The sequence below is a fragment of the Homo sapiens genome, chromosome 1 (assembly GCF_000001405.40).
Source record: "Homo sapiens chromosome 1, GRCh38.p14 Primary Assembly".
In the NCBI taxonomy this organism is placed as follows: Eukaryota; Metazoa; Chordata; class Mammalia; order Primates; family Hominidae; genus Homo; species Homo sapiens.
The window spans coordinates 243,196,019-243,210,833 of NC_000001.11; the positions used below are offsets into that span (position 1 = coordinate 243,196,019).

The 14,815-nt window shown below is 35.5% G+C and overlaps 1 protein-coding gene across 27 annotated transcripts in view; it reads right to left on the reverse strand.

Moving 5' to 3' along the window:
• The window catches only part of CEP170 (centrosomal protein 170), a 131,358-nt gene that overhangs the window by 71,591 nt on the left and 44,952 nt on the right, over nucleotides 1-14,815 (reverse strand). For all 27 annotated transcript variants that reach the window (XM_047435483.1, XM_006711843.5, XM_017002951.3 and 24 more), the window contains 3 exons: nucleotides 4,759-4,817; nucleotides 4,500-4,662; nucleotides 3,042-3,176 (listed from right to left, as the gene is read on the reverse strand). In XM_047435483.1, the coding sequence (XP_047291439.1) occupies nucleotides 3,042-3,176; nucleotides 4,500-4,662; nucleotides 4,759-4,817 (357 nt within the window). The remainder of the gene's footprint in view (nucleotides 1-3,041; nucleotides 3,177-4,499; nucleotides 4,663-4,758; nucleotides 4,818-14,815) is intronic.

Sequence of the window (14,815 nt, forward strand, 5' to 3'; positions counted from 1 at the left end):
TCTAGCAGAAAGAGTACACAAGCTGAGAATTCAGTTACATTCATATAGATGAAAGTATTGCTGGATGCTTCACATTTGAAATTTATTTTATTATGCTGAGCTAGGAGGGATCAATTTTTATGGCTATTTGATTTTGGAGTATTTGTTTAAATCTTTGTACCCTATGAAGTATATCCTTTTAGAGTGATTGTGTTTACAAGAGTAATGATGGCTGAAATATTAAAACTTCTTATGGTTAAGAGCGTGGACTCAGGAGTCAGGCAATCTAAGTTCAAATCCCAGCTCCATTATTTGTAGTTGGGTGACTTTGACAAGTAAATTAATTTCAGTATGCCTCAGTTTCTTTATCTACAAAATCACCGTAACTGTACCTTTAGGTATTGCTGTGATGATTAAATAAATGCATACAAAGCACTCAGAAGAATGTTGGATAAAGTAAACCCTACTGAAGTGTTAGCTATTACTGTAAATCATGGTTGTGCCTTCTGTACAAAAATTACATATACACTTCACTGTATGTTAGAAGTTACGCGCTTCAGATTTCAAAAGCTGTTTTGTGTGTGACAGGGGAGGGCTAAAATTTTAACGGCAAGATAAAAATTACTATCATACTGATTTTCAGAGTTTGGTGATAATTATATTCAGCTATGTTTTCTTAATCACCTAATTGGTAAATCTTTCCCCCTCTCAGTACTAGGTGGCTCTAGGGCACAGTGATAGTATATTATGCGGTACTTGAATAAGACATGTATAGTTTAGCTGTGGGGAGGAGGCACACACACAACATAATGAATGAAACTGTAACGTACTGACGATAAATATACAGACATCATTTAGAATGTATCTCTTTGTCATTTAATGTATGTGTGTATTTATGTCTGTGGGAAAAGAGCAGGCAGGAATTAGCATAATTTATGGGGGATGCATTGGGAGAGACCACTCAAACAACTGGTAATGGGACGTAAGGCTGACCATGGAAACTGGGACAAAATTAGAAAACTCTGACATGAACAACTTAGTTTAAAAATCTATTTGGCAGGCAAAAGACAGTCATTGTAGTTTCTTGAACAAAGAAAATAAAGATCAGTTTAGATGTGTTATACAAAATAAACTGCAGGAGGGTTGAAACCAGGTTGGTAGCCCAATCATGACTCAGGACGGCGGGCAGCGTGGGGAAAGGCAACAGACCTAAGGATTAGACAGACAAGGTGAAGGGAAGGGAACACTCAAAATTTACAAATAAAGCAGACATCCTTGGTTTTCTTTCAATATCCTTTCCCTGTTCTTTCCTCCTCAAAGGACTCCAAAAATCTCTGGCATCCACTCTTTCCTGACATAGATCATGTGGCTTAGGGGAAAACTAACATCACACACAGCTTCAAGGTGAGCAAGACTGGTTTAAGGATAATCTAACTTGCCTTGCCAGGGATTGGTTCAGAAATAAGCAGGTGACCCTCTCCTGAACCTGTGAGAGGCCAATGAGATGAGAGATGTTAAGAACTTTTGGCAAAGTTCTTCCAAATTCTGGAAGGTCTTCCGGAAGTAACGTTTTCGCTTTCCTGTTGGATGTGATCAAAGTAGCATGTACCCCTTCCTGCTACTGGCAGGCAGCCTATGAGAGTGAGGGTAAACTCCTCAGTCTGCAACCACTATGAAGAGCAAGACTGAGAGACGGAGAGAAGCTAGCTAGCTGATGACGACATTGTTGAGATGCTGAAGTAAACAACCCTCATGGGGTTCAGTTATGTGAGCCAGTAAATTTCTTCCCTGTTTAGTCTCAGGCAGCATTTGTTATTTACATCTGAAAGCGTGCTAAGTAATACTGTTTCTGTGCATGGGCATGAAGAAAACTGCTGGTGACAGAAACAATAAAGCTGGGATGGGAATTTATTTGCAAAGTTGACAAGTTCAGCCTTGGGCACTGTAAGATGAAGTTGATAACGCTCGCTTTTCTAGACTTGTATCCATTAGAGCATACCTAAAGAACCAATGTTCTTATTGTCCAGCTAAGAAAAATGTCCTATTTATCTTGTAGAATTAGGGTGAAAAGTAGAAAAGTGAGAAGAGTTCTCATGGAATTTATCCTTGGTTCAGAGCCAGACTTAGTCTTCCATACTGAGCCCAGGTGCCTGTACTTAATTCCTCCAGTTCTGGATCCTTGTCTGCTGTTATCTCAAAAACTGGCTGCTCCATCTTTCTGTTCTCATGTCTTTGCAAGGTCCTTATGTGGCAACTGACACCTCCATTCATTTCCTGGAAGTCTTGATTTTCTGGTTTACGGACTGAACCACTCCATTAACAATATCAGAAATATCAAAAATGTGTTCCTTGACTATTAATCTGAGAATCTGACCCAGAACTATTTTTTCATTCTGGCTGCCAAACTCAACTAATCTTGTTGCTGCCATTTCTCATTACAATGAGCACACTGAGGTTTTGAAGAATTTGTAATTTCATATCACATTTCTGAACAAAGTGGGAAATGTTCATTTAAAAATATGATTAAGCTGGACATGAGATGGTGTGTGCCATAATCTCAGCTCCTCGGGAGGCTGAAGTGGGAAGATGGCTTGAGTCCAGGAGTTCAAGACTAGCCTGGGCAACACAGTGTGATCCCATCTCAAAGAATAAATTAATTTATTTTAAAAATATGATTATATTCTGGGGATCTAATAAAAACGCAAAATTAATGCCTACAATTTTGGTCTAATTGATATATTTTAATAATTATTTTTATAAACTTAAAATGCCTAGTTATATCATTAATCTACTTTCCAAATCTTAACATCTCCTTTAAACTGTAAAAAATATTTTAAATAGAAGTGCTTTATAAAGATATTAAAATTAATACTTTACTTATAATCACACATAATTTTAAATTTTACATTAAAATAACAAGGCCATTAAAACATTCATCAATTTTAAAAAATCAAAGTATAGAATACTAGATCATCTCTTTTCATGGTAGACAGCTGTTTGCTTAGATTACAGATACTTCCCAAAATATCCACTTAATGTCACAGTGACTGAGATTTTTTTACCTGATGTTCCAGCTTCATGGTTTTTTTCTTCAGGTTTGCCATTTGTCTTGAAAGCTCTTTTTTCATCCACCTCATCATCCCCCCACCATGACGGCTGCCCATATAATGGAGTACCACGGGGCATAGCAGAAATATCTGGAAAGAGGTGGGAAAAATCTGTCTAAAGCAGATGAAACAGAAAAGAATACACTTTCGCAGAATGCTAGAACTGCCTGCTTGATTAATTAAATTAAAAAGCAAAGTATAGTCTTGATAGCTAAAATGTACTCTATACTGAATTAACTCGGTATTTGTGGAAGATCTTATACAATGTTGGACATGACTAAATAAATAAGATTTCCACTGGGTGGTATCTAAGTAACACAACGTGCTACATATCTCAATAGCTTTTTGTTAAGGTGTTATGAGTTGTTTGCTATATAACTGAACTGCTTGTAACAAATGGCATTTTACTTGAATTTAGACAGAAAGTGACCTCAGAAGAACAAGTTTGTTGAAACTAGACAATAATCAACTAGGGAAGAACAAAACCAGTCTGATCAGAAATGGCTCATTAAGACTAAATGTAAAAGACAAAGCTAAAGTAAATTTTCACATGAGTAGCTATTTTCCAATTTTTTTCCAGCCCAAGGACACAAAAACTAGTTCTTAACAGAACTAACATTTTTTTGTTTGAGCAAATGTAGTAATGCCTATTCATTTAAAAACTTGTTTCTGTTTGAATGGGATTATTTATGTAAGGCATTTTATAACGTGCCTAGAATTGTAAATTATTATATGGTGATACAGCCACATTTGATTTAAAAAATTTTTCTTTTAATTCGTTTTCGTTGTTATGCTGCAGAAGAAAATGCAGACAAACATGAAATAATAAAAATATTATAAGGTAAACTACACAGTTAACCCTCTGAATCTGTAGGTTCTGCATCCATGGGTTCAATTAGCTGCAGATGAAAAATGTTTTGGGGGAAAAAATTCCACTACATTCCAAAATGCAAGACTTAAATTTGCCTTATGCCAAGTACTATTAAACAAATGAAGTGAGGTGTATGCATTGTATTAGGTATTATAAGTGATCTAGAGATGATTTAAAGTATACAGGAGGATGTGTTCAAGTTATGTGCAAATACTATGCCATTTTACATAAGGAACTTGAGCATCGTGAATTCTGGTATTCATGGGAGTCCTGAAACCAGTCCCCCACGGATACTGAAGGATGACCATATTTACTTCTCTTAAACATTTAAACATATTAAGCACACCTATATATAACTGCTATATATAATTATGTGTTTTATAATGTTTCCTAATGAAAGCACTGGTAGCATTAAAACACACTCTGAAATTATCACTATTATAAATTATTTTTATATGGACATAGCCAACTTTCTGAGAACAAAGCATGCAGTGTCTTCAAGATCAAGTATAAAGATGGTCTTTCGAGAGAGGCCAGCTTACCCATGGCTTTTTCCTCGGATTTCAGTGCTTCAGTAGTTTTGTGCTGCACTTCAGTAGCAGCGTCTGCTACCTTTGAATCTATGCTTTTGGCACTTGCAGATTTGGATAATTCTGATTCTGAAGATTTTTGGGACAACTGAAGCTGAATGGTAAACTTCTCATGCTATAAAACATTTAAAAATGGAAGTGAAACATCAAGAAGTAAAATCAACCATAGTGAAGAGTAGATTTGCAAAAGAAGTTAAGTAAAAACTGTTACCTTAAGAGCTTCTTCAGGGACCCTCATTTCTCCTTGTACTACAGTGAAAAGATTTGTATGTAAACGGGGCTAAGGAAGAATATAACCTCAAATTTCTGATAATTGAGCTAAAAATCGTCATCAAATGTAATTTAGAAATTGTTCTATTTCAACAGGTAACTACAGCAGAATTATTATATTTCCCCTGAATAGTTAAATATTAAAATATGGTCACCAATGTAAACATTTTCATTTTAAAATACTAAAAATCTTAAGATCCAGCAAGTTTTCTAATTTTAAGTAATGGTGGCCCTCAAGAAGCAAACAACTGGGTAATTTATCAGAGCACAGAGACATTTTCAATTTTCACTAACAATAATATGAGATAACTACAAAGAAAAAGTACATGCATCAAATTATATTGAGAGCTAATCACAAAAATGTAAGGAAATATCTCATCAATGATTAACCAACAGCAATTCCTAAAAGAATTTGATTACTCAAACTTCATAAGCATTGATAAAAATGAAGTTCATTTTGCAAGTGCAAAAGAAATGCTATAATTAGGGTCCTTACAGCAACCACAACCATGACTGTTCCCCATGAATTGCAATCAAGGTCGTATTACATTATCAAACAATGGATACTATACCAAGATGAGATTAGAACCAAGTGCTAGATACAATGAATGCCTTCATTATTAAACCAAAAAGAACACTGCCTCTGTATATTAAAAAGATCTATTCACTAAAGAGTAGAGGTCACATTTCCCACCATTACTTAACTCTGTAATGAGAGGACTTTTATAACCATGTACTAAATTCTATTCCTTACCAGTTCAGAGCACTCATGACTTCGAGGGTAGAAAGCTGTAACTATCATGACTACTTGGGGGAAAAAGATGACTTCCCAAGCATAAGGGAAGTAGGAAACTTGTGAGTATTTATTCTAGGTTTCTACTTGTTAAAATAATAAAAATTCAGAATTGTAAATATGAAGAGTTTTGGGAAATATTCTGTTCAATTCCATTAGTCCCTCCTGTTTCATAAATAAAGAACCTGGGTAATGGACGGACAGAAACCAAAACAAGAGTCTAGTCAACTGAATCCCAGGCCAGGGCTCTCCTATTAATCTACATTGCTTTTTCCTATAGCTTTGAAATATTAAAATTTTCCTTTTTGTCACATTCATACACTGGTATATATTTGCTGGTACATATGGAAATACACATCTCATAACTAAGTATATTTAATAAAAGATAATGTCTAAATTGCAAACATATGGAATCAATCTAAATGCCCATCAACTGATAAGTGGTTTAAGAAAATGTGGTATATATACACCATGGAATACTACTCAGCCATAAAAAAGAATGAAATAGTGTCTTTTGCAGCAACTTGTATGGAACTGAAGGCTATTACTCTAAGTAAAGTAACTCAGGAATCAAAAACCCAAATACCACATGTCCTCACTTCCAAGTGGGACCTAAGCTATGGGTACACAAAGGCATACAGAGTGGTATAATGAACACTGGATAATCAGAAGTGGGGAAGCCGGAAGGCGGGGTGAGGGATGAAAAACTACCTATTGAGGTACAGTGTATACTACTCAGGTGGTGGGTACACTAAAATCCCAGACTTCACCCTTGCACAATTCATCCATGTATCCAAAAAATCACTTGTATCCCTAAAGCTATTGAAATTTCTTTAAAAAGACAAAAAATGTGATTAAGCTATTATAAGAAAAAACCTAGAATTTAATAAGTATACATACATTCGCATATTTATATAATATGAATTATATAAACACATATATATAATATAGAAAAACACTAGGGCATGACTACTGCAGATATTATTGAAGTTTTTCATTCTTTTCTGAAAATTGCTTTCTATCTGATGTGGTTACAGATGTGAGTTCCCTGAAGCAATATTATGGTAAAAACTTTGCTTTAAATATAATAATAATACTGTCTAGTAACTTTGTTTTATCCGCAAAAAACTCATAAACAGCTAGAGAAAATTCATAGCATTCCTACTTTTTCTATGAAAAAAGGCATTAAAAATGGACAGTCATTACCATTTTTTCCATGGAAAACACAAGTGATTTCAGCCTGTTGTGAGGGTTTTCGGGTGCTTCAAGCTTACCTCCTGGGAGTGCCTGAAGGCAACTTCCCAGGGCTCGTCTGGGGTATCCTCTTTAAACCTAGACACTCTTCAGGTCATGGAGAGCTTGAGAGGAGCCATCCTTCTCAGGTTCAAACATTTTACCTTCCAAAAATGTTTGTGTGTGTGGAAACGAAGAAGACCTCAAGAAGCCTCTTGTTTGGGTCATTAATTCATCTGGGAACTCTGGTGTAACTGTGAGATCTGGAGACTGCTCTAGCCCCAGCTTTTCCCTCCAAGGCTACCATCTTCTTAGTGGTGCAGGCCTATGTAGCTATTTTTAACTTGCTAATCAAGAAAAATGACAAACAGAGGTAGAATAACGCATGATATCAGTAAGTTATAAAAAGTTTGAATTCTTGCTTATTAAAAAATCATAATTTGACAGGTTATTTCTCCACTTCTTTATATAAAACTATGATTGCTATTCTAAGCCATCCCCCTGTACTGACCTAAGTCAATTTATTCAAGAAATGTTTATCTAAAAGTAGGACTGTGGAAACTCCCCTGAATACTAGTAATGTGTTCTTAGATACGGTTCCTCCCACTCTTTTATTTTAATGACAAAATAAAAAACAGAGCGAAACTTTAAACAGCGTTAGTTATTCCAAGGGGTATGACCTAAAATATGAAGTGTCAGATATCACTGTAAACATATCTTTCAAAAATCATGTCAGATAATTAAGAAAACCTGAATAAAATTATTTCATACAAGGAAAGATCAGAAAAACATATTTTTCAAAATTAATATATTTCATACATGTGATTTAAAAAAACATATAATAAGGCTATCCCTAGAAATTCTTAAGGTTACCCAAAAATGTTTCCTTTTCATTACAAATATGGAAATTTTCCCTCATTTAACAACAATTGATAATAAAACATACAATTATGATAAATTAGAGTCCACAGAGAATTAGTAAGGTAGGTCCTAGGAGACAATAAGGGTTTAAAAGAAAGTTAACAGCAGGAAACTTTCTAAGGGGAAAATTTTATCTATCTGCTTAATTTTGCCTATACCTTCAAAAAAAGGTATCATTTTATTTTAGGAGATGATTATCTTTCCAACTTGTAGAAGATCCTGTTCTTTAAAAACATAGTTTTCAAACAACTGATTTAAACTTCTCTATCACTTCATTTTTTCATCCAAAAAAGCTCATTTCCATTAATTTTTAAAATTTAGTTCTTTTAAGCTTTGAGAAATGTCCTCTATTTTTGAAATTTGAAAAATATTAATATGCTCATGTTTTGTTATGGATATCAACCACATAGATAAGGAAAAATCTTAACTTCTCTGAATGAAAGTTCTTAATTTTTGCTTACATTTAACTTCCCCTTGATCATTCAGCAGCCGTTATCTTGACAGCCTACCAAACAGTGGTATATATAGTGCTGGAAGTACAGATTAATTATAGTTTTAGATGCTATGATATGATGTATTGGAGTTTTCTTTAACCTGGTTTCTAATATGACTAACCCAATCATTTTGTGGGCCATTATGCAGGAATATACAACTTCTTTGGGAAAATACATAAATCACAATTTTAAAATAGAAGGTACTGGGTTCTTACTTATGATGACTTACATGATTAAAATGATTGGCGGGTGGATCTTGTGATTCAAGATATTTAAGTAATGTGTAAATAATTTCCCACAAAATGTGGAAACCATACTATACTCTGCTTTTCCTCCTAGCACATTAGTGGTTTCTCCTTAGTCTCTTTTACTGGTTCCTAATCTCACCCATCTCTTAATATTGGAATGTACCAGGTGTCAGTCCTTGAACCTCTTATCAATCTATATTCATTCCCTTAATGATCTCATTCAGTCTTATGGTTTTAAATATTATTTATATAATAAAAATCCCCACATTCATATCTTTAGCTTCTACTTCACCCCTGGATTCAACTTTACATTCAACATGCCCCAAATCAACTTCTCAATCTTCTGGATAAGATGGAGTAAAAAGAATTGGATTTATTCTCCTACATTAAACAACTAAAAGATGGGTAAAACACATGATACAATGTTTTACAAGACAATTGGCATCAGGCAACAAAAGACAATGATCTCCCAGAGAAGGGCAACAAAGCAAGAGTCCAATCACTGCCCCAACTCACTGCCCTGTGAAAGTTTCTAGGTCACACTGTGAGGAAGAATAATCCAGACAGAGCCTGGCAGACTCCCTGAGTTGTGATGGAAATGAAGTCAAGAGTCCAAGCAAATCAACATTACTGGAATTCCCAGGACTGAGTACTGAAGACAAGCCTGCACAGAAAGAGAATTCCAGAGATTTTCAGTCTCTGGAAAATATTAGAGATAATAGTACCCAGTGCCCACACATAGGGCCAGGAATAGTACCTACTCTCAACAGCTAGACTGTAAAACCTCATGCATGATTCATGAGTCACTGGGTAGAGCACAAGTCAGCAAACTTTTTCTGTAAAGGGCCAGATAGTAAATCTTTCAGGTTTTTCAGGCCACGTGATCTCTGCTTCAGCTACTCAACTCTGCAGCGGTAGAGCAAAAGTGGCCACAGAAATATGTTAATAGATTGGGCATAGCGATGTTCCAACAAAACAGCCTGAGGACCAGATTTGGTCAATGAGTTTACTGACCCCCCACAGTAGAACATACAGAAAGGTCTTGCCTCAGTAGTTGGGAATAATTAGCCCAGAACAATCTTAGAAGCCTAACAAATCTTAAAGGAAAGACTCAAAGTGATAAAACTGTTTCCAAGTAACTTGTATTCCAGAAGAATGCTCAAAAATACTTATATAAATACTAAAATATGCATAACACTCAGCAAAGTAAAATTCACAATGCCTGCCATCTAATAAAAAATTACTATGAGTGTAAAAATTAATCAATGGAAATCAACCCAGAAGAGATAAACAAATTTTAAAATAAATAATGGAGATTTTTTCCAAATTGGATTGAAACTATAAAGCCACAGGATTTTAGAAGGTCAACAAACCCCAAGGGAGGAACAAAAAAACAACAAACAAAAAGAAAGAAGAAGAAAGAAGGAAGAAAAAAGAAAGAAGAAAGAAGGAAGAAAAAAGAAAGAAGAAGAAAGCTACACCAAGACACATCATAATCAAACAGTTCAAAGCCAGGGACAAAGGAAAATAATGTGAGAATACAGTGGAGCAACATCTTTAAAGTGCTAAAAATAAGAAAAAGCCAATTTCGAATTCTATCCCCAGCAACAGTAACTTTTTTTCTTTTTTGAGATGGAGTCTCTCTTTTGCCCAGGCTGGAGTGCAGAGGTACGATCTTGGCTCATTGCAACCTCCGCCTTCTGGGTTCAAGAGATTCTCCTGCCTCAGCATCCGGAGTAGCTGGGATTACAGGTGTGTGCCACCACGCCCAGCTAATTTTTGTATTTTTAATAGAGACAGGGTTTCCCCATGTTTGCGAGGCTGATCTCAAACTCCCAACTTCATGATCCGCTTGCCTTCAGCCTCCCAAAGTGCTGGGATTATAGGCGTGGGCCACCATGCCCGGCCAATATTATCTTTCAATAACTAAGATGAAATACTTTTCTAGACATATAAAAGCTGACAGAATTCATCACCAGCAAAGCCATAGTACAAGAAATGTTGAAGGAAGTCCATCAGGTAGAAACAAACTGACATTATGTGAAAATATGGATCTGTACAAAGGGATGAAGAATACCAGAAATGGAAGGTTCGTGGGTTTCAGACATAAGTACAATGGGTATAAAAATATGTATTTTAAAATATGTATTTTAAGATTTTAAAAATTATTTAAACCTCTTTAAATGACAATTGACTTTTTACTAATAACAATGTAGTATGGGGTTTGTGACACACATAAAAATAAAATACATGACATCATAGCACAAAGGTCAAGACGAAAGTATACTGTTGTAATGTTCTTGTACAATATGTAAAGTGGTATAATGTTACTTGAAGATAAAACTTGAAATTAAAGACAAATTATAAGTCCTAAAGGTACCACTAAAACAACAACAAAAAATTACGGCAAATAAGCCAACAAAGGAGATAAAATGAAATAATAAAAACTATTCAGATAACTCAAATGAAATCAGAAACAGGGAAAGAGAAAACATAAAACTAATGGGTCAAACAGGACACAAATTTCAAGATGATAGATTTAAAACTAACCACATCAATTATCACAATAAATGTGAATGGCCTACATCACCAAATAAAAGTAAAAATTATCGTATCAGATAAAAAAGTAAGAACAACTATATGCTGCCTACTTTACAGGTAAAGACAAACAGGGTAAAAATTAAAAATATAAGTAGACAACAGAAAGCTGGAACAACTATAATATTAAGACAAACTAGATTTCAGAGCAAAGAATCTTATTATGGATAAAGCAGGTCATTGCATAATGATAGAGGGGGATAATTCATCAAGATAGCATAATAATCCAGGTTGTCTATGCAACTAATAAAAGAGCTGCAAATGACAAAGCAAAAAGTTCTGCAAGGAGGAGGGGGCGAACCCATAATTATAGCCTGAGATTTCAATACCCCTTTCTTAATAATTGAAAGAGTAAGAAGACAATAAATCAGTAAAATACAGCAGACCTGAACACCCACCAAGCCAACCTGGCCTAACTAACATTTATAGAACATTCCAACCCCCAAATAGCAGAACGCATATCCTTTTTAGGTACATATGGAACATTTACCAAGATAGAACATATTCTGGGCCACAGAACAAGTCTCAATAAATTGAAAAGGATTTGAGACATACAAAGTATGTTCTCTGAGCAAAATGGAATTAGAAATCAGTAACAGAAATATATCTGGAAAACTCCCCAAATATCTGGAAACTAAACAAACTTATAATCTGTGACTCAAAGAAGAAAATAAAAAAGGAAATTAGAAACATTAAAGTAGTAATTGGGGGAAAATTTATAGCTCTAAACACCAGTATTAGAAAAGAAAGGTCTCAACTGAATGACCTCAGCTCCTACCTAGAAAAAAGTTTAGAATAAAGGTAACAGAAATCAAATAGAAAACAGAAAAATGTGAAAACTTGGTTAAGTCTAAAGCTAGTATTTTGAGATGATTCTTCCCATTTTCTCCACAAAACTTGCTCTACCTACAGAATTCTCTATCAGTTATTAAAAGGATGCCTTCCTTTTTCATATTGCTCAGGCCTAAATTCTGGTTCATCCTTGACTCTTTCTCTTACTCTACATCCAGTCTAATCAGAAAACTTTATTGGCTACATCTTCAAAATATACACAGAATCCTTTCATTTCTACTTCCAGATATATCACCCTGGTCCAAACCTCCTTTACCGTTCACCTGAACTACTGCAATAGCCTCCTAACTGGTCTCTCTTTTCATACCCCTGCCCACTCCACCCTTAGTTTTCTTTGAACAAGAGTAGCCAGAGGATCTTTTTAGATGTATGTCATTTATCACTCCGATTAAAAAAAAACAAAAACAAAAACGCCTCCAAAGACTACCCATTTCACTCAGAATAAAAGTCAAAATCCTTATAATGTCCTACGAGAACTGATATATTCTGACTCCTAATATACTCATGTTCTTTGCTGGCTCCAACCACACTGGCTTTTAAATGCTATTCCTCCAATATGTCAAACATGTCTCTGCTTCAAGTCCTTTGTACTATACCCTCATCTGTCTGCAGGACAATATCTCCATATATCCATATGGCTAACTTCTTTACTTTCTCCACATCTTTGCCCCAGTGCTGGCTTCTCATTGAGGTCTTCGTGAATATTCTTTTTAAAACTCTAACTTCCCACTTACCAACACTAGCTCTCTGCCTCCCACTTTCACTTTTTTCCATAGAACTTACCATCCTCTAATACCCTCACTTCTAGTGTGTGCTGTCAGTCCCTTCAACCCCACTAAAGTGTAGGCTACAGGAGAACAGTGATTATGATCTATTTTATTCACAGTTATATTTCCCAAACCACTGGGACTATGCCTGGCACATAGGAGACATTTAATAAATAATTAGGAAATGAATAAACTTTTCCTTATCAGCCTCATTTTTGGCTACCTGAAGATTTATTACCACTTTTTGAAGTTTTTCTTGATTACTGCAGCATTTTAGTACTCCTTATGAGTTTACGGTCATTTTAAAAGCTTGTATATTTCACTGAGTATGTGCTTTTCCAAATCACTTATTTCTCCAGTTACAAAAAAGACTTATGTTGCCTAATTCTAGTCTTGATCCATGTTAAATTGCTCCTTCTATTGATGTAGCATTTTATTTTATTTCATTTATTTATTTATTTTAGACGGAGTCTTGCTCTGTCACCCAGGCTGGAGTGCAGTGGCACGATCTTGGCTCACTGCAACCTCCGCCTCCCAGGTTCAAACAATTCTCCCTGCCTCAGCCTCCTGAGTAGCTGGGATTACATGTACCTGCCACCATGCCAGGCTAGTTTTTGTATTTTTTGGTAGAGATGAGATTTCGCCATGTTGGCCAGGCTGGTCTTGAACTCCTGACCTCAACTGATCTGCCCACTTTGGCCTCCCAAAGTGCTGGGATTACAGGTGTGAGCCACTGCGCCCAGCCTGCTGTAGCTTTTTAATCAAAATAGTTTTCCTCTCCAAAGTATAGCAGTTTATAGACTGCCTATTAAGATTAATTTTAATTAGAATAAAGTACAAAAATGTCTTCAATCTAGCATAGCTAAATACAGAAACAAGTAAATATATAAAACCTGCTTTTAAAATTACGTATATAATATAATTTCTGCCACTATAACAGATGGTTTTTTTTTTTTGAGACGGAGTCTGGCTCTGTTGCCCAGGCTGGAGTACAGTGGCACGATCTCGGCTCACTGCAAGCTCCGCCTCCCGGGTTCACACCATTCTCCTACTGAGGTGGGAGGTAGGAGCCTCCTGAGTTGCTGGGAGTACAGGCGCCCGCCACCATGCCTGGCTAATTTTTTTGTATTTTTAGTAGAGATGGGGTTTCACTGTGTTAGCCAGGATGGTCTCAATCTCCTGACCTCATGATCCGCCTGCCTCAGCCTCCCCACGTGCTGGGATTACAGGCATGAGCCACCGTGGCTGGCTAACAGATGCTATTTTAAAATAATAAAATTATATGTGCCTCCTCTGGGCATCCAGACAGTAGTTATGGCTCAACACTAAGTGCACAACTCTGAGAAAGTCTTTGGGACAAAACATCCGTCCCAACAATTTTAGACAGACATATTATGAGCTGGTACGTAAGAGAAAAATGTCTGTTTGCTGTTAAGAAAATAGTATACTATTGTGTAAAAGCATGAGGTTTTTTTCTCAATAGTTTCTTCTTGATATAAAATTCAAAGTTAACTTGACAGAGTTTTACTAAAACTTAAATTTCCTAGTATTTTTCTCATGATTTGAAACAGTTGATGCCAAATGGATTAAAGGAGGTATCTAAATTCAAAATATACTTGTATTTGTTCTTGATGAAACTTAGGCTGGTAGAAAATGACACCCATTCATTAAGGCTTTAATGCTAATTCTTAATTATTTTGCATGAAGCATTTTTTTTAAAGACTTAAAATATATACAAGTATTACTATTTAATGGTTTGGCTTTTTGTATATTCCTTTGGCTCTGCAAGTGTGAACATTATAAAGTATGCTACAAAACTTTAATTTTAGATTTAAAATTTAAAAAATTGTAATATTATTTTTCGTAATTTTTTTTTTTTTTTTTTTTTTTTTGAGATGGAGTCTCTCTCTGTTGCCAGGCTACAGTGCAGTAGTGTGATCTTGGCTCACTGCAACCTCTGCCTCCTGGGTTCAAGCGATTCTCCTGCCTCAGCCTCTGGAGTAGCTGGGATTACAGATGCGTGCCACCATGACTGGTTATTTAAAACATTTTTTTGTATTTTTAGTAGAGACGGGGTTTCACCACATTGGTC